The sequence below is a fragment of the Homo sapiens genome, chromosome 9, assembly GCF_000001405.40.
Source record: "Homo sapiens chromosome 9, GRCh38.p14 Primary Assembly".
In the NCBI taxonomy this organism is placed as follows: domain Eukaryota; kingdom Metazoa; phylum Chordata; class Mammalia; order Primates; family Hominidae; genus Homo; species Homo sapiens.
Window position 1 is genome coordinate 89028595 of NC_000009.12, and position 20681 is coordinate 89049275.

The following is a 20681-nucleotide window of genomic DNA, read 5'->3' on the forward strand; positions in this document are numbered from 1 at the left end:
ATGTGTATATATATGCTATAGATATAGATTATCTCTCTATATAGATATCTATATAGAATATATATAGATATAGCTATCTATATAAAGAGATAATCTATATCTATATATTCTATATATATCTATATAGAGAATATATATTCTCTATATAGATATATATTCTCTCTATATATATATTCTCTATATAGATATAGAGAGATATAGAGAGATCATCTATATCTATATATAGCATATATATACACACAAACATGTGTGTAAATATATCTATATATAGATTAGATATATATCTAGATATAATCTATATCTATTAATCTATATCTATTAATATAAGTTTTTTAACTTTTTTTTCTGTTTTCCAAATTATCTTCTGAGGCAGAATATATATATAGATATAGATATCTATATAGATATCTATAGAGAGAGATAATCTATATATAGATCTAGATTATATCTATATTATACACACATAAGTTTGTATGATAGTCAAGAAAAGCTCCCAGAACATAGAACATAATTTCAAAGAACTGGAAACTTTTTGGAAAGACAAGAGACAAGGTCAATCCAGAAGGTCTACTCCCTCAACCAGGAGTTCTGAGATGAAAAAATATAGAAGGCAGGAAATTATCAAAAATATTATATAAGAAAATTGTTCTGATTTAAAGGAAAACACAAGTCTTCAGAATGAAAGTGTTCATCAAGTTCCTAGAACAATGAATAGAAAAAGACACACATGTAGATTCATGCCTATGTCATTACAGAACACAAAGACAAAAGAAAAAAATTAAAAATTTATAGAAAAAAATAACCATAAGGGATGAAGAATCACACCAGTCATACTACAACTAACCATACTTTTAATCAAAAGTGACTGAAAAACATATTTTCAGACACGCAAGGATGAGAAAATTTATGCTCATGCACCTCTTCCGAGAAAGGCACTTAAGGAAGCAGTCTGGTAAAAAGTGAGTGAAAGCCAAGAAAGAGGAAGATATAGGATACAAGTCCAAGAGTCCAATGAAAATATGTCCCTGGGATGATGAGTTTGCCCTGGAAATTTATTAGTTCACCTTAGAAGAGGAAGTCCATCTGTCTGTGTGTCCTAAGAAATAGATGGAATGAGCAAGGCACTGGTTAAGGGTAAAGACATTGTGAGGAAAACATAGCTGTCTTCTCTCAAGAATAGGGCAATTAGAAACTTCAAGATTAACTGATTTTAAAAGCATCTGTAAAAAAAGTACATATGTAATGCAATGTTATGCCTAATATATAGAACTATAATATACATATTACATTAAAAAACAAAAAGTCAAATGGCAGCTATAAATCATATATCATAAATAACATTAAATATGAATGGATTAAAAATGCTATCAAAAGGCAGAGATTTTCAGAGTGGCCAAAATAAAACAAACAGATTGAAAATAAAGGAGAGAAAAGAATGTGTCTCATATATAGCAACCATGAGAAAGCTGGAGTACATATACTAATACCAGATAAAATAGATTTTAAAACAAAAGAAGCAAAAAATGTTACTAGAGATAAAGGGGGACATTTCACATTAATAAAAGGTATATCCATCAGGGAGATACAAAAGTTATACACACATATGCGCTTAATAACAGAACACCAAAATACATAAAGCAAAATTAATAGGAATAAAAGGAGAATAGACAATTCAACAATAATAGACATTTCAATACCTGACTTTTAATAATGAATAGAACAACTAGTCAAAAGACCAACAAGGAAACAGAAGACTTGAGTACCACCAGAAACCAACTAGACCTAATAGATATCTATAAAGAACTCCATGCAACGACATTCTTTATACATGCTAACCTATTTGATACTTAGGTAAAATGGACAAATTCCTAGAAAGACACAAAATATCAACACTGACTCAAGAAGAAATAGATAATCTGAATAGACCTATAACAAGTGAAGATAATTCATAATCTAAAAAACTTACTAGAGATAAAGAGGGACATTTCATACTAATAAAGGGTCACTCCATAAGGAAGATACAACAGTTAAAAACACATATACACCTAATAACAGAACATCAAATTTTTCTAATTGTCTCAAGGATGTTCTTTTTATTACCTGTTTGTTGGAATCAGAACCCAAATAGATGTAGTCTGCATTTGCATTTCATTATTTCTCTTAACACTCTTCTATTCTATTTATATTTTCCTTCCGTTTTTCCTCCATACCAGTGATTTGTTTGAAAAACAAGATATTTGTCTGTGGAATACCCCACCTTATGATTTGGCTTTTGCTTCCTTCTGGCATTGTATAACTTGTTCCTCTGTCCCCTGTAATTTTTTTTCTTTTTTTCTTGAGACAGAGTCACCTGTCACCCAGCCTGGAGAGCAGTTGTATGATCATAGCTCACTACAGCCTTGAACTCTGCCTCAGCCTCTCAAGTAGCTGGGATTACAGGTGCATACCACCATGCCCAGCTAATTTTTTATTTTAGAGATGGGGTCTCACTATATTGCCCAGTCTGGTCTTGAACTCCCAGCCTCAAGTGATCACCCCACCTCAGCCTCCCAAAATGTTAGGATTTCAGATGTGAGCCACCACACCTGACCTGTATTTTTCTATAAACTGGCAGATACAGAGATTCTTTTTACACAGCTTCATTGAGATATAATCTAGACACCACATTCATTTAAGGTGTACAATTCAATGGGTTTCAGTATATTCGCAGATACATTCATTATCATCACTGTCAATCTTAGAACATTTTCATCACCATAAAAAGAAATGCCATACCTTTCAGCTATCACCTCCCTGTCCTCCCATCCCTTTCTCTCACCCAGCCCTTAGGAATCACTCATCTATTTTCGGTCTCTGTAGATTTTTTCATCCTGAACTTTACTATGAATAGAATAATATGTGGTCTTTTGTCACTAGCTTCTTTCACTTAGCATAATGTTTTCAAGGTTCATCCAAGTTGTGGCATGTGTCAATACTTCATTCTTTTTATAGCTGAATTATGCTCTATTGTATGGATATACGACATTTTACTTTCTTATTTATCTGTTGATGACACTTGAATTGTTTCTACCTTTTGGCTATTATGAATAATGCTACTATAACTATGTGTGCACAAGTTTTTGCGTGGGAATGGGGTGAGGGTGGAAATGGTTTGGGGGAGATCAGTGTTTTTCTTTAAAAGCCTTCTATCTCCTTTGTTTATGTTTTTCAGTCTTACATTGATAAAAATGTAAAAGGTATGTTGCTGAGACAGGCTCTTGGATCAAATGCTCCATGTTTCTCAGCATTTCTCAGCTTCCTTGGAGTGAGGCTGGGACTCATGGACTAGAGGGAGCTGATGTGAGTCCCCTCCACAGCACAGCCATTGAGAGCCCACGAGTTTCCTCCAGCCTCTCTTCTCCTTTGAGCTCCCGTGTTGAGAAGATGAGCCCAGGAGATGGACAACAGTTCATCTGGATCCTGAGTCACCCAAGGACCTGCGGGAACTGGAGAGCCACACAACACACACGTGACTTGGCATGCGGGGGACTGAGCTCTGCTGGGTTAAACCACTGAGAATCCAGATTTTATTTGTTATTGCAGAACAGCCTAGACTGGCTGGTACAAAGGGAATTTAAAAATAACAACAGGGCATTATAAAGTGAGGATTAGGGAACATTTAAAAACTACTCTTAAAAACTAGTGAATGTGGGGGCGTTGGATTGTCATCAATGTTTTGTGATTTTATGAACAAAATTTCCAGCATGTGCTCTTAAATGTGCAATGACCAGACACCATGTGAATCACGCCCACAGGAAACCCACCCACCAGCGGTAGCAACACATTCAAATGCAAGCACAGTGCCCACCTCGCTTAGCTGGTCCTTCAAGACCAAAGAGATGAATCAATGATAAATGACTCAGGGAATAATTTTAGACATAAGAGCGTTGACTAAACAATTCTGAAGATGTTGAAAAGTAAAGTGTTCCAGACTCCATCTCTGAGGCTTCTCTTAGAGACCCAGCTACTGGCACTTTCCAGATACTATTTTAGAGTCAATATTCTTGACACCTTACGAACAGGGCTCAGAAGATGCCCCACGCAGCTTCTCACCACGTTTCCAGTGATCTCAGTGGACGGTGGGAAGGCACAAAGGTTAGTATACTCTGGAGTAAATTTAGACGCAGAACTGTTTTCATCCTTATTTCTCTGAGTAATCTGTTCTCTGCCAAGTTTCCCCCTTTATAGTCAGGGACCAACCAATTACCATGAAAATCAGATGAATAAATATTGAAGAGAATGTGTTCATTGCCTATTTTGGTGTCCCCACAGCAAGAATGTGATGTTACATTTTTAATTAAGTCTTTCATTTCCATTTTCTTTTTCAGCTAAAGCTGTCCTCCATAGGATCAATTTAACTAAAAAATTAGATCCAACAAAAAAGCCCCCCCACCGAAGAACAGTCATTAGTAGGTATGACTTGACAAATTTTCTCAACAGTACTACAAGTTCCTCCTCCAAAATTAAAATTGTATGGTAAACACAGCTTTGGGCATTGGCTCGCTTGGATACCTGGTTTAATCGTATTTCCACAAATTCATACCCTCTTTATCTGCTACATTATGATACTGATTTTTAATGTATAATAAATATGTTATTAGGAGTACACAGCTCTTTTTTAAGTCATTCTTTGATCTATACAGACTAAGTGAACAAATTCAATAATCTTTGTTCTATAAGATGACATATTTAACTAGATTTTAGCTTTTTGTTTTTTTAAATATCTAAAATTTTGAACTGAAATATTTATATTCTCATAGAATTGCTTGGGTATCTTCTCCCCTATTTTCTTTTAGATAACCACAACTGTTAGTCTATGCAAACAGGAAGAAGTATGAGCTGATTCTAAAAATTTCGTTTCTGATTCTACATCTGCTAGTAGCATGCAACCCTCAGCACCCCATCACCTCCACAGGCTCTCAACTCTTAACCTGTAAAAGCCCAGGCCAATCTTTGTGTTTGTTCATCAAATGCTTGTTGAATACTGCTATGTGCCAGGCACTACTCTACATATTGGGCACTATGGCACTAAACAAGTTTGCTACCCTCATGGGGAATACAGTCTAGTAGAAGAAACTAGCCACATAATGAAGAAATTAACAAAGAAATGAATGTTTGTTTGTGGTAAGTGCTTTAAGGTAAAAACAAAGAAGAATGCAGAAACAGGGGGTATAGAGGGGATCCTATTTGGGATAAAAAGATTAGGGAAGGCTTCTCTGAAAAGACTTCTTTGATGTGTAGGAAGCCTAGCTCATCTTAAGAGGTGAGCAAAATGGCAAAATCTTGATACCAAAACCATATGAGCATATACAAGCAAAGGCAGCAAAGACAAGACAGGTTTTACTTACAAACAGAGATTCAACAAAATCCTAAATAAAACATTCGGTGACCAAATCCAATAATGCATTTCACAAGAACTATGTCAAGGTGAAGTAGAGTTTATGACAGGATTACAACATCAGAAAAATCTAGCTGTGTAATTCTCCATATTAACAATTTAAAAAACAATTATTATCTCAAAAGGTGCTGAAGTAGTTGATAAAGTTCAACACCTATATATAATCAAAGTAATTAAATAATATGTGTAAGTTCCATGAGAGCAGAGATTTTCTTTTTAAACAGATTCCTAGACATATCCCAGCTGCCAAAACACAATGTCTGGACATAGTAGGCATTCAGTATGTATTTGTTGAATGAATGAATAAATGGATGAATGAAATTTTTTAGGACAATCATCTAAAAGATAATCTCCCCAAAGCCTACTGCAACCAGTGCAATCATTCCTTTTCAGGTTTGGAGTGGACAAGGACACTCTCCCCTGGTCAGCCTCTGTAGGCGCCCCTAGTCAGAGCAATGGGGTGAAATACCACGTAAGGGTGAGCCCTGGAAGGCAGGAGGTGAAACTGTCCAGGTCTGCAATGGCAGGACCAATGTTCCTGTAAAACTACTGGAAGAAGCAAAGTGTCCAGGCACAAGATCACACCACATTCTTCTCTCTCCAGCAAAAATCGTCAAGAAAAAGAAACTCAAAATAACATGCCACTTACAACAGGAGCTAAATCTAGACACTGTAGGAAATAATCTAATAAAGGAGACAGAAGAATTTGTGGGAAAAATTTTAAAACTCTATCAAAAGACACCTTAAAAACTAAGTTACTGGAGACTTATGCCATGTTCATGGTTGTGCTGATCTAATACAGAAAAATTGTTGGGAAAAAGCTGAATGTTGGGAGGGAAACTGAGGCAGGGCTTGCATAATGTCCTTGGGAATGTGTCTAGACTTGCTGGCTCCTTGCTTCTAGCCCTCCTAGGCTCCTAGATCGATTGTATTCCCATTATCTCAAGTAGCAGAACATGTTCCATATAAATGTTAAACCATCACAGCTGTAAATCATGTGCTTAATGCAACGTGTCATTTTGACCTCCACATTCTCACCACCTGTTCCTCTGTTGGATTACCAATAAATAGTGCGGGTTCCCAGAGCTCAGGGCCTTTGCAACCTCCACGATTGCGATGGCCCTCTGGTGTCCCACCTTCCTCTCTCAAACTGTCTTTTTCTCAATCCTTTGACTCTGCCGGACTTTGTCAGCCCCACGACCTGGCGTTGGGTCTGATCTCCCCAACAAAAATGTCTGTTCTTCTTCAAATTAATCTACATACATTCATTGCAAGCCCTATTGAAATCCCAGCATGTATTGTTGGTGACTTGAAAAACTGATTCTAAAATCAGTATAAAGAAGAATATATATATGAAGCTCAGTAAAACGGTTTAGAAAAAGGAGAATCAAGAGGAAGGACTCACACCACCAGATGTTAGGAGAGTTCCAAAGCCATAAGGATGTAATAGCATGGTACTTATACAAGGACTAAACAGTCAGATCAGTAGAATAGAATCCAGCACCCAGAAACAGACCATGATGCAAGGAACTTAGTATGTTTCAGAAGGAACATCAGGACAGCAGAGAAGAGATGAATGATTTAGTAAATGGTGACAGAAAAACTGGCTTACTATCTGGAGATTTAAAAACGTGTTGAGCCTCGGCCAGGTGTGGTGGCTCACACCTGTAATCCCAGCTCTTTGAGAGGTTAAGGCAGGTGGATCACCTGAGGTCAGGAGTTCAAGACCAGACTGGCCAATATGGAGAAAACCTGTCTCTACTAAAAATACAAAAACAAGCAAAAAACAAACAAACAAAATATATATATATATATATAGATGTGTGTGTGTGTGTGTGTGTGTGTGTGTGTGTGTGTGTATTGGGTCTCTATCTCATTTCATATTCAAAAGTACCTTCAGTTGGAATTAAAGTCTACATGTGAAAGATAAAACTATAAAGCTAACAAAAGAAAATATATATTCAAATCCAGTATATTTGTGATTTGTGGGGGAGAAAAACTTTAAAAGTCAAAACCATCAAGCACAAAGGGGGAAACCTGATGGATTCGGATGCATCCCATGAAAGACTTCTATTTGATGAAGAGTATCACAGACAAAATTATCAGATAGATGAAAAAAGCAAGAGAATACATGTGAAAATTCTGTTGCTGAAAACCTCAACAAGAAAGCCCAATCTGAAAGTCAAAAGAAAAACATGGAGAAAAGATAAGAACATAAAATTTACAGGAAGAATCTGCTAATTTACTAATGAAGTGCAACCAAAGAATTACAAATCAAACAATGAGGTATTCCCTTTCTCCCTACTCCCACAAACTAGCAAACCTAGAGACTCTCTCAAGGAAGAGCAAGGATGTTGCTGGTGTGCGCCTTAGTAGCTCAGCCATTCTGAAAGCAAATGCAAGCCCTAGGGAAATTCAATGTACGTGTACCCTGTGACCAAAACGCCACTCTTGGCTCCTGTCCCAGAGATACCGTCCCCGGGTACAGAGAAAAACATGCGTGAGAGTTTGTAGCAGCTTAGTCATCCTTCTCAAGAGAGCTCAGTAAGTGACATGTGGACTGCATACGTGACGGGCCCCAGGCAGCCCACCACAGTAATGATCTGATAAACAGAAACCACCATGGACAGATCTCAACAACATATACAGTGGTGGAAAAGGAAGAAACAAAATGGGATTTGTGGAACAATAACATGTTTGCAAACTTCTTTTTTCTTTTTTTGAAACAGAGTCTTTCTCCATCACCCAGGCTGGAGTGGAGTAGTTGCGATCACAGTTCAGGGCAGCCTTGACCTACGGGGCTCAAGCAATCCTCCCACCTCTGCCTCCTGAGTAGCTGGGACTACAGGCAGTCGCCACCATGCCTGGCTAATTTGCAAATTTCTAAAAGGCACAAACACAAAATATGTTTTCTCAGAAGTACATATATGTTAAAAAAAAAAAAAAAGAAGGTGGATTGGAAGGAGATAGGTTACATTCATGAGGAAGTGGCTGTCTCCGCGGAAGGGAAAGAGGAACTAGCTACTGGCTGGAAGTGGGAAGTGGCTGCTTCTGCAGAGACAGAAAGGGGAATTGTTCAGAGTGCCAGGAGCTGGGGTATTCAGGCAACTGAGTCTTGGCACCTGAGGTAATAAACTGTCTTGGGTAACACCCCCACCCCCGACACATGCAGTTTAATTGTGTTCCAGTCCAACTGAGACAAAGGCTTCATCCCTCCCTGTCAATCAGAAAATGCAATGTTCTTAACTCCTATTAAATAACTCTACCCTGCTTTGTTGTTTTCACTGGATAAAAGGTTTTAAACAATCCTGGAATTTCACTCAATGGTTAGGTTGATTTAACTGCATTTATTAAACTTAGCAATTCTTGGACTATGCCCCAGGTAAAGATGAATGTCTTTCTTGACGGGAAGATGAAAAATTCAGCCAAACCTACGGGATTATTCAGATACAGCTGTAGTGCCAGGGATGGCCAACATCAGTAGGAGTTACTTCTCTAAACGGGAAAACAAGAGACTTAGCAATGGGGGTTTCATTTACTGATCATCACATTTTACAGCCTTAGAACAAAATCCTCAGTGATTCAACTTTTCGAGATAAGCATTCAAGATAAATATTAAAAGCCTAGGAGCCTGTACTTCCTTGTCTACTAGAAATGTGTTTGTAAGGAAAATGCTCTCAGTTTCTGTATTTATTTACTTTAAAGGACATAAAAGTCAAGGCTTTCAGCCTAGGCCATAATTCTAAAAGTTTTAAAACTTGTGTGGGGCCCTGACCACTGGCTCCTGGCTCCTGGCTCTGGCCTGATGACAGGAGTTGTCTGTCCCTGCGTTCCCCTGGAGGACTCAGTAGGCACTTGTGGATAGAGGTGGGAATGTGGAGGGCATTTGACAAAGTGGAGACTGTTTAAGGCAGGTCTGCACCCACTGGCAGGTCCGGCCCCACCCCCACTGGGTGCTCACCGTGCCTTCTGGGTCCACGAGCAGCAGGTGCTTGGCCTGGCCATTGTGCATGCCCGTGAGGACAAAGGAGCCCGGGTTGGTGGTGCTCTTCCTGACCAGGAAGTCTCCGTCTTTCTCCAGCAGCCCCTCTGCCTCCTTCCTGCTCATCTCTCCTTGGTACCAAGTCTCGGCTTGCAGTTCCTCCAGCATCTTGGCATCTGGGGCTCTAGGTGACACAGGGCTGATGCACTCCACGGAGGCTGCCTTGCTTAACACGGGCCCCAAGGGCTGGTTCTTGAGAGCATCTTCAAAAGGTTCTGTCATCAACAATATTGACCAGCAACAAGTCAATCCCAAGAAGAGCAAATGATAAAAAAAAAAAAAAAAAAATACAGTGAGAGAGATGGAAATGCAAAGGCAACTCCTCCAGAAGGGGAAAACAAAAACCAATGGAGACAACTAACTGGCTGGTAATATAACAAGAGCCATCATAACAAGCATTGAAAAGCACAGCCCAAATTTTGGCATGACTTTCTGATGAGTCTGCTTTCCCAAGACAGCTGGGAGTTGTGCTATGTGCCAAGGAGTCAAGCACACCCTTTGTCTAGCTAGCTGGAATGACTTCATTTTTGCATGCTGCAAGAGGCCATGAATATCACATGCCACGTACTTTCTCTGGAACTTCAGCCAGCCTCTTTAACAAATTCTGAACAAAAATCTGCCAATACCAAAGGGAAAGACAAGCTACAAAGCTTTGATTTTATGCAAAACCTGAGCCCAATCCACCAAAGGTTTATTTCAAAATCTTTGCATCAGGCAAATTTTTAAAAGAGAAAGCTGACGGGTGTTGGGTTCCTCTTGTGTGACTTGCCCCAGGCTAGGAGCTCCACCTTCCCTTAACCTTCACTTGTTTCCCTGTGGAACGAGGCTCTCACATGAGTGCCTGAGACCATACTTGGTTTCATCCCCTTCAGAGCACACTTCTCAGTGCAAGGCATGTGTGAATGGTGAGACTGCTGCTCTAACAAGAAATACCAGCAGCAAAAGAAGTAGCCAGGCATGTCTAACTAAATCCCGATGTTCGATTTTCACATAAGGTAGTGTGTATGAAAGGACTCTGAAAAATGCACAGTGCTATGCAAGTGGAAGGTAGTGCGATGGTTATTTCAGACTACGCTGTCTACCCATAAGCATACACATACATACAACATAAGCAGCACAAGAACAGGAGTGGTTCTTTCCTGAGCATAACTACACCCTCAGAGCCCAGCATTGCTCCTAGCACACAGTTCATTCAGTATAGTCAACAGATGCTGTAAAATAAGCCAAACTTGTTCGATGTTAGTACAGCGTGGGCAGAAGTGAGGTGAGTAAATGAAACTAAAATTAGCTCTTTTTGATGCTTATTAATCTTTGACAGATTTGGAGATAAAAATAAGTTAGAACCATTGGCAAAAATTATGTCTGTGGAAGTTCTTTTTCATCTGACTTTTTTCCTGATTACCTGGAATTGTCATTTGTTTTATACTGTTTCTACATCATTACCACCTTTGCTATCATCTACATCATCAACATCGTCAGCATCATCCCCAACATCGCCACCATCCCCACATTCACTTTTATTGGCACCACCACCACCATCAGCATCACCGCCATCGTCGCCATCGTCATCACCATTATCACCATCATCCCCATTGTTACCATCATAACCATCATCATCACCATCATTGTCACCACCATCACTGTCACTACCAGCAACAGCAGCAGCAGCAATAGCATCACCACCATCAACACTATCATCACTATCCCCTCACCATTATCACCACCACCATTACCATCAGCATCATCAGGATCATCACCATTATCACCATCATCCCCATTGTCATCATCATCATCATCACCATCATTGTCACCAGCATAACCATCATCATCACCATCACTGTCACCAGCAGCAACAGGAGCGGCAGCAGTAACAGCAGCAGCAGTAGCATCACCACCATCAGCACCATCAGCACTATCACCATCACCATTGCCACCACCACCACCACCACCATCGGCATCACCACCATCTCACCACCATTATCACCATCACCACCACCACCTTTGCCACCAGCACCATCATCAGCATCATCACCACCATCATCACCACCACCAGCACCATCAGCAGCAGCATCACCACCATCATCATCACCATCATCATCACTATCAACACCACCACCATCAGCAGCATCATCACCATCATCATCATCACCACCACCATCACCACCACCACCACCATCAAAATTACCATCAGCAGCAGCACCATCATCACCACCATCATCACATCAGCACCGCTATATTTAGATCTACTGGTTCAAAATAAAGAACACAGAGTGCTGGCTTTATTTAGTTCCATACTTTTCAATAGGCACCAGCCTTTCTAAGGCTCTTTTCACATCCTGTTTCCCCTCCTTAGGTTTTGAAAGCAGGAGGAGAAATTAACTGGTGGGAAAAGGGTAGCTCTGGTTCTCATTTTTTCATCCCAAACACCAGCCAATCTAACTTTCCTTAGGGTCCGTGTCCAGGAGTCATTGGTAAATTGACTATATTAAACAGTAAAAATGGTCTAACCAGACATGGAACTATTAAACTGCAGTTTGGAGGTACTATAACAACTCCAGCAAAAGCTTGGAGAGCCACCACTGTGCTTTGCATCTTGAAAAAGTGGCTTCACATTTCTCAAGCTGTTTTCACATTTTTAAAAATAAAGGCACTGGCGGGACTGAATTAGGTGATCTAGCATTGAAGGTGGCTTCAAGCATTAAGATTCTACAGTTCTTGCTTAGATTATTTTTGTTAAGTCAAAATGGGGGTCCAGTGTGTCTGGGAAGTCAAATTTGCTGGAGAGAAACAGTGTTGTTTTCATGAGGCTGCCTAATTATAAAGGCACTTAACACTGTCCTCACTCATACAAAATACCACAAATCACAGATATTGGACCAGCAAGGCTGCCTTTCACAAATGATAAAGTTAGTTAACTTCTAGGATTCTTCGTTTCCTTCTCTGTAAAATAAAGATAACAGTAGTTATCGTAATACCTACCTGTAAAAATTTAAAAATAAGTGTTTAGCACATGGTAGAAAATCATTCAGAACTAGTCTCCATTCCCTCCCTCTTCAGCCTATAAAATTCTCGAGGAATATGAAAAGCAAATTTAGCTCTTGTGAGCTTGTGATGCTCTTTCAAAATTTTTTAACAAAAATTTTCACTTTCATTAATCAGTTCATGAACGATTTAATTTCCTCAGTCTATATGACAAACAGAAAGTCTGTGGTACACATCCCACTATAATGCTATCTGCAATAGATTCCTATTACTCTCCTTATCCTGTTTAGTTTTCATAACTGAGGAGCATGTACCACTACCTGGTAATAGATACCTCCACGAGGTAGAGACTTTGCTGGTTTTGTTTTCCTGTATATCTCCATCAAGTAGAATAGTATTTGACAAATGGTAAGTGTTCAGTAAATATTTGGAGTGAGGTAAAAGGTGAGCAAGAGAGAAAAAAGGAGAGAAAAAAATGAGAGCACAAGTGGGAGGAGAGGAGAAAGAGAGAGAAAACCCTCATAAGAGAGAGGTGTGTTGCAATTTCTTGCCTATATGTTAAATGTTGGTCTGCTTCATAGACCTAGAGATCCGTGGAAACACGGGCCATGCCATTTCATCTTTGCATCCTTAGCAACTAATACAGTAGCTGGCACATAATAGCCAATTACTATTTAAATGAATAAATAAACATTTGTGTATGTATATTGTCTCAATACATTTGCAGATCTTCAAGAGGAACGTCAATTCCAAAAAGAGGGGGAAATTGCTCTGTCTCTTGACTACAGAGAGGGCTATAATCCTAAAGCCTTAAACAAACCCAATCATCACCCAGAAAAGTACAGCTAATCATCACCATTAACCAAAACCCTACTATCAGAAAATTCAGTAATTACACAGATTTCAAATAAAAGGCAGGATAAAAAGCAACCTCAAAAGAAAAGAAAACCAGAGACAAACAGAAACCCACTCATGTCAAAGAGGTCTTTCCTTGGGCTGCTCTCAGCACTGCTGACCGCAGCCGGCCAGGCCTGTGGTGGGATCTGCTGAGTGTTGACGTAGGTGGGTGCTTCTCCCGTGGGGGCCACGTGCAGTTTCCCTTCTGGCGTGCTGTAGATGTCCGAGGACCCTGCAACAAGAAAGTGAGCCCCTTTTCTTTTACGATGGTGACACTATTCAAGCCACCCAGCCTTTCACAAAGAAGCTCTTCTGCCTGCAAATGGGAAACCTCCTCCTTCGGATTCCTATGGGTGATATTCTCCTCTTCTGAGCTTGTCACCACACACTGCTGTGACCCAGCTAGGATGTTTTCCAGTCCTTCATATCAGCATGGGGTCTGCCAGCCAATGTCAGGGTGGACACCTTGATGGCTCCACTGTGATGGCCTTAGCAAAAATTTTGGCCCTTGCTGCCCCAAGACCGCAGGAGCCTGGCAGGCAGAACATGCCTGACCTCCTCTCCTTGACAAATGCTCCAAGATCAAATAACTGAGCAGAAGGACCACAAGCCTTATATTAATTGCTCTTGTTTTCTTTTTAAATATAAGCAAATGCTTTATAAATTAACTTCATTCAAGCAATACAATAGAAGCTCTGTACCTCCTAAGGAACTGAGAGAGACTCCTTCCTTATAAAATAGGGCTGCAGTTACTGCCCCTGGGTCTGTGAAGGAAGCCCAGGGTGGGTGTGCAAGTGAAGAGCCCCCTCTGCTGAGGCAGTGATGCTGCCTCGATGTGACTTCACAGCTAGCCAATGGGTGTGCTGAGGCTAGGCCAAGGCTGTTCTGTCACCGAGACCTAGTGTGAAAGACCTAGTGCCTTGACAGGACTTCACAGCTAGCCAGTGGGTGTGCTGAGGCTGGGCCCGGGCTGTTCTGTCACCCAGACCCTGGGTGAAAGTGACACCCAGACCTAGTTGCCGGAGAACGCCTGTTCAGATCCTTCTCGGAGTCTTTTTGTGTGTGCGCCCTGTCTCCAATCTTCTTACGTAAACATGTTCGCAAGAACACCCTGTGGTATTCACATTTCTGGAAAGAGGGTGTCTTTCATACCCTATGGGCGGTGGTGTGTTGAAGCCAGCTCAATCCAGCTGGCAGGAGTTGGTTCAGGGCTTTTTAAAAAGCGTTCCCAAGAGCCTGTGGCTGGACATTTGCCAGCACACCACTGTCTCCCAGGCTGTAGGTGTGAGAATGAAGTGTCGTGCTAACATTCCCTCGCTGGGGAGCACCACCTGCAACATCATGGACTGTGTTTCTACTCTCCTATTTCTCAACATGCTTTCTACATTGAAGAGTCTAGTCAGATTACGCATCCTTGCTTAGTGACAGCTATTTGCAGTTTACACCTTTGTGTACATTGCAAACGAATCAGCCTTTAGAAAAGAATTTCATTAAAAAATTTTAAAAGGAGAAGATCAAGAGCCCAAATGCATAATCTTCCTGACTGCCCTTTCCCACCATAGATGACAACAGGTGCTGAGCCGGGGCAGGAGGACACGTGCCATCGTGATACCTGGAGTTCACTTCCATTAGGGACAGTATCTGCCAGCAAATTAATAAGTGACATTCTAATTTGTTATGTGAGAAAAGATATTTATTTATTTTTTTTTTTTTTTTTGAGGCAGGGTCTCATTCTGTCACCCAGGCTGGAATGCAAGTGGCATGATCTCGGCTCACTGCAACCTCCACCTCCCAGGTTCAAGCAATTCTCCTGCCTCAGCCTCCCGAGTAGCTAGGATTACAGGTGCCCACCACCATGCACAGCTAATTTTTTGTATTTTTAGTAGAGACGAGGTTTCACCATGTTGGCCAGGCTGGCATCGAACTCCTGACCTCAGATGATCCACCCGCCTCGGCTTCCCAAAGTGCTGGAATTACAGGCGTGAGCCACCATGCCCTGCCTATTTATTGTTTTCAAAGAAGAGCTGGAAATTTATTGAGAGCTCTGAGTCTCAAGTTCCAGGCCAGGAGTTCATTCTGCGACATCATCTGTTCTCGATCTGGCTGGAATAACTTGAATATATCAAAAACAAGGCCTATTTTAAAATAAACCTGATATATTTTACAATAAAGTAAATATCTAAGGGAAATAATGTGTCTCCTTTATTCTTTAGCAGTTATTATATGTCTATGCACACACATGTTATGGAAATGCATTTTAAATGTGTGTAGAACAAGGATAAATAGCCCATAATGAAAATGTCCCTCTGGCAAAGTTATGACTCTGATTTGCTATTTCCAGCCTATTCTGAGGCAGAACATGTGGTGGCTTCTGCCAGGCCTTATGTTTTATTGACTGGGCCAGCACTGTGGGTCTTCCTGCATCTGGGGCAGGCGAGACGAAATTCTCTTACACAGAGGACATTTTAAAAATGTATTGTCATTTGCTTCCTGGCATAAATAGCTATAATGAAGGAATAAGCCTCAACATTAAACCAATAATGTTTAAATTTAGATACATAGAAGCATCAGTTGCATCCATCCCCTTCAGATCTTATAGACTTAGTAGCCAGGATCCCAGAGCTAGTGAAAGAGTTATAAATGTTTTTGAGAAGGGAAAAAGGTTAAAATTAAAAGACATTCTTAAAGGATTAGATTGAGATATGAATACATTCATACATATTTGTATGTGTATATATAACTGTCTAGAGAATAAAGACTTATGTGAGCAATTAGCAGTTACTTCTTAGATAGTTGTATCTAAATTATGATGGCTGTATCTAAATATATTTGAATTATTTGCAGATATCTGACTTATAGACAGTTATATCGACATTAGTTTTAATGTGTGATGTAGGTGCATATTATGATTGTAAGATGCAGAAGTGTTCTCTGAGAGTATCCAGGGCCTGTGAGAGACGTATATCCCTGGTGCCACCTCTGCCTCAATCCCCAGCTTAGAGTAGGGGGCTTCACATCCCCCCTGAAGCTGACCCTGAGTAAAGGGAAGGAGAACGAGACAAGGAAGGAAAGGCAACAATTTGTTGTAGGAGTCACGGGGGCTCAACCTCCACCTTAGAGTTGCCTCACCAGTTCCCATAGGAAACTGGGGTGAAGTATGCCTGAGATGTCAACTTCTCAGCACCCCTGGGCATGGAAGCTCTCCCAGCATGGAGGTGTACAGTCTCAAGGGCATGAGGCAGTGACTGCAGACGGGGTGTGAATGGTCCTGGAGCTGCAGGGAGGCACTATCTGATTGGTGCCAGGAGATGTCTGCAACACTGTTGCTTTTTTTTTTTTTTTTTTGAGATGGGGTTTTGCTGTTGTTGCCCAGGCTGGAGCGCAATGGCATCATCTTGGCTCACTGCAACCTCCACCTCCTGGGATCAAGTGATTCTCCTGCCTCAGCCTCCTGAGTAGCTGGGATTACAGGCACCCGCCACCACACCCGGCAAATTTTTTTATTTAGTAGAGTTGGGGTTTCACCATGTTAGGCTGGTCTCGAACTTCTGACCTCAGGTGATTGTCCCGCCTCAGCTTCCCAAAGTGCTGGGATTACAGGCGTGTGCCACCGCGCCTGACCACACCGTTGCTTCTATTTCTATAGTCTAGTCAGGATTCTATAGCAACACACACAGCACATATATCCAGGGGTCACTCTGTCAGTCCACAGAAAATAGGCGACCCAGTGGTGAGCATGTTACTTTTGAAAAGTGTCTTTTGTGTTTCTCACCCATCTCACCTTGCCTCTCACCTTGCCTTAAAGGTGTTTGCTGCCAGTCTTCGCCAAAAGTGTCTCCTAAGTGTCTTCCCTGGTAATAAGTCTGCTCTTTTCCTGCAAACTATAGACACATGTAAATACACAGAATGAAAAAATTATTTTCTTCTCATTTCACCACTTTTGAAAGCCACAAGACAGTCGGCGAGTTGATCCTTAAGGTGGTTCGCATCCTCTGTTACACCCAATTTTCCCTTCATGCCTCATGGTTGGCATTAAGATTTGGGAAATAAGTTTGTGTGGGTGTGAGGAAAAGGCTGCATCTCCATCAAAACTACACATGCCCCCCCGCTTGTTTTCATTACCCCCCCCACCCCTCCCGAAGTGTGACTGTAAATCAAGCTCTTCCATATGTATGTCCTAAAATAAATTTCAATTACAGAGTATCTATGTGTCAGAACACACTTCCCACATAACACATACGCCCATGATCGTTCACACTTGGTCAAGTCCACTCTGTAAACCAGGAAATTTCCTTCAAAAAATCAGGAAATTCCCTCTCAGTGTCAGATCCCTGAGCTCAACGTTATTTTGCCATTTTTAGTGGTGTCATTATCATTCACATAAGGTAGTAACGTTAAAAAATTTCCTATAACAAAACAGAAATATCATAACTCTAGAAAGCAATTGCCTTACTAGAATTTTGAGTTGGACATAAAACAAGGGAATGAATAAAATAGAAAACTCATAAAATTCTCATCATTTTAAGCGTCTATATTCACTCCTTTTCAGAGAACCCAATGCCTCCCAAGCCTTTTTAAAATCTTAAATTCTCTCTTTCCCTCACTGAGATCACAGTATGATGGAATATGTCTGAGGGTACAGAGGACACCCCCAGACTCATATCCCAGGAATCACCACACAGTTCCAAAGCATTTGGCCAATGCTTTATGATGTTAACCCAAAGCCTCTCTTCATCTGCATGCCTCATGAAATCCAGTGAGAGAAAGCTCATGATTTACTGTGTCAAAAATGAAACAGAACATCAGCCTGAAATAAAACCAAAGAAAACAAAAGGAAATAAAGTAGAGTTAGCCTCCATTCCTTATATAAGAAAAAAACTATAAGACTTACCTGGGCTGTGTCAGGAGCATGGGGTCTGGGTTTCAGTCTAGTATCAAGAAAGCCCCCTGGAGGAGGCATCTTGCTTGGGATGCTGTTGTAGTATGGGTGGTCTGAGCCATCTCCCTCCTCTTCCGTCCATGGCTCATCCAGACTCTGCATTCTGTTAAAGGAAGATTTCCAAGGGCTTTAGCCAAAAGTTGAACTTGCAGCCAAAATCAACAAATCTAATGTTAGCGCCTGTTATTAAGAAAAGAGAGTTTAGTCAGTGCCTCCTCAGCCATCCAGGTCTCATGCATAGATGAAAAGCAGATGAGTGGTTTAGCAAAATATCTCTGCCATATTCAGAGTTTCACTCATTGGAACATTTCAATCATGTTTGAAGGATGTCCTTTTGTAAAAGTACATTTTAATTAAAAAAGAAATTATGCCTAAGGATAGCCAGCTCCTCAAGGGACAGCACACATTTTTGTAAGCCATGAAATTGATCCCAAACAAAACCAACTACAAAATGGAAATTTAGTGATATGAGGGAAAATGGTAGAATATGAACCTCTCAAAATTCTCCCTTCTGCTATTTGAAAAAACTGTTGTGCTTCAAAGGACATTATCAAGAAAGTAAAAATACAAACTACAAAATGGGAGAAAATATTTGCTAACATGTATCTTAAATGAGACATGTATCTAGAATATATAAAGTACTCGTACGACTCAACAATGAAAAGACAACCCGATCTTAAAAATGAGCTGAGGATTTGAGCAGACTTTTCTCCAGAGATACACAAAAAGCCAATACATGCATGAAAAGTTCCTCAACATCGTTAGTCATCAGGAAAATGCATATCAAAACCACAACCAGAGACCACTTCATGCCCACTAGGGTAGCTATAATCAAAGAGATGGACAAGAAAAAGTGTTGATAAGAACGTGGGGATATTAGAACCCTCACACATTGCTCATGGGACTGTAAAATGGTGCAGCCACTTTAGAAAATAGCTTTGCAGTTTCAGCATAACCATATGACCACAGAATTTCACTCCCAGGTATATACATAAGAATATTGAAACATATGTCCATAAGGAAACTTGTATACATCTTTACAGTAGCATTGTTCATAAGAGCTAAAAGGTAGGGCCGGGCGCAGTGGCTGATGCCTGTAATCCCAGCATTTTGGGAGGCCAAGGCGGGCAGATCATGAGGTCAGGAGTTCAAGACCAGCCTGAGCAATATGGTGAAACCCTGTCTCTACTAAAAATACAAAAATTAGCCAGGCGTGGTGGCACACACCTGTAGTTCCAGCTACTCGGGAGGCTGAGACGAGAGAATTGCTTGAACCCGGGAGGTGGATGTTGCAGTGAGCTGAGATCGTGCCACTGCATTCCAGCCTGGGCAATGGAGTAAGACTCCATTAAAAAAAAAAAAAAAAGGTAGAAGTACCCAACTGTCCATAAACTAATGACTGGATGAACAAAAGGTCATATACCTATACACTCAAATATTATTAAGAACTCTAAAATGAAAGAAATACTGACAGATCCTACAACATGAGTGAATCTTGAAAACATTCTTCTAAGTGAAAGAAGCCAGATACATACAGTATGATTCCATTTATATGAAATGTCCAGAATGGGCAAATCCATAGAGACAGAAAGTAGATTAGTGGTTGGTGGAAGAGTGGGGAGTGGAGAATGGGGAGTAATTGCTGATGAGTATAGAGTTTCTTTGGGGGGTAATGAAAACGTTCTGGAATTAATGGTGATAATTGTACTTTTGAATATAACAAATCAACTGAACTGTAAACTTTAAAAGAGCAATTTGATTATATATGAATTATCAATTTTAAAAATAATAATAAATGGAGTCTTAGTGGCATCTGATTTGTTTTTCAGTGTCCCCAGAGAATGGGGCTGGAACAGCTGGATGCAGTGTGGGTTCTCTCATGTTCCCAGGCTGCACCCTGCTGGAGGAGCGGAGCTGAAACGGAAGGCAGGGCAAGCTCAGGAGATCCCCGTCACCCCGCTCTCGGATAGTACCCTGCGGGACACCAGGAGCCTCTGCAGGATAAGGTGAGGGGGGTGTCAGGTCACCGACAGTATGAAGCTACAGGCAGGGCCCCTTGTCACTGCTCTGCTTTAGAAATGATATGCCGGCCGGGCACGGTGATTTACGCCTGTAATCCCAGCACTTTGGGAGGCCGAGAGGGGCGGATCACGAGGTCAGGAGATCGATACCATCCTGGCTAACACGGTGAAATCCCATCTCTACTAAAAATACAAAAAATTAGCCGGGCGTGGTGGCAGGCGCCTGTAGTCCCAGCTACTCAGGAGGCTGAGGCAGGAGAATGGCGCGAACCCGGTAGGTGGAGCTTGCAGTGAGCCAAGATCGCGCCACTGCACTCCAGCCTGAGTGACAGAGCCAGACTCCCTCTTAAAAACAAAACAAAA

The 20681-nt window shown here is 40.9% G+C and overlaps 1 protein-coding gene across 1 annotated transcript in view, besides 1 other annotated feature; it reads right to left on the reverse strand.

The window, feature by feature from the left end:
- SHC3 (SHC adaptor protein 3) overlaps positions 1–20681 on the reverse strand; it is a 173048-nt gene that overhangs the window by 22824 nt on the left and 129543 nt on the right. Inside the window, exons 8-11 of the mRNA NM_016848.6 lie at positions 18250–18400; positions 17152–17239; positions 13432–13590; positions 9399–9694 (exon numbers count right to left, since the gene is read on the reverse strand). Coding sequence (NP_058544.3) covers positions 9399–9694; positions 13432–13590; positions 17152–17239; positions 18250–18400 — 694 coding nt within the window. The remainder of the gene's footprint in view (positions 1–9398; positions 9695–13431; positions 13591–17151; positions 17240–18249; positions 18401–20681) is intronic.
- Positions 9426–9925: an enhancer, noted in NCBI's record as "H3K4me1 hESC enhancer chr9:91652935-91653434 (GRCh37/hg19 assembly coordinates)". NCBI's record gives its function as "activates a minimal SCP1, AML or CMV promoter by ChIP-STARR-seq in primed H9 embryonic stem cells {active_cell/tissue: H9 hESC(primed)}" and the evidence as "EXISTENCE:reporter gene assay evidence [ECO:0000049][PMID:30033119]".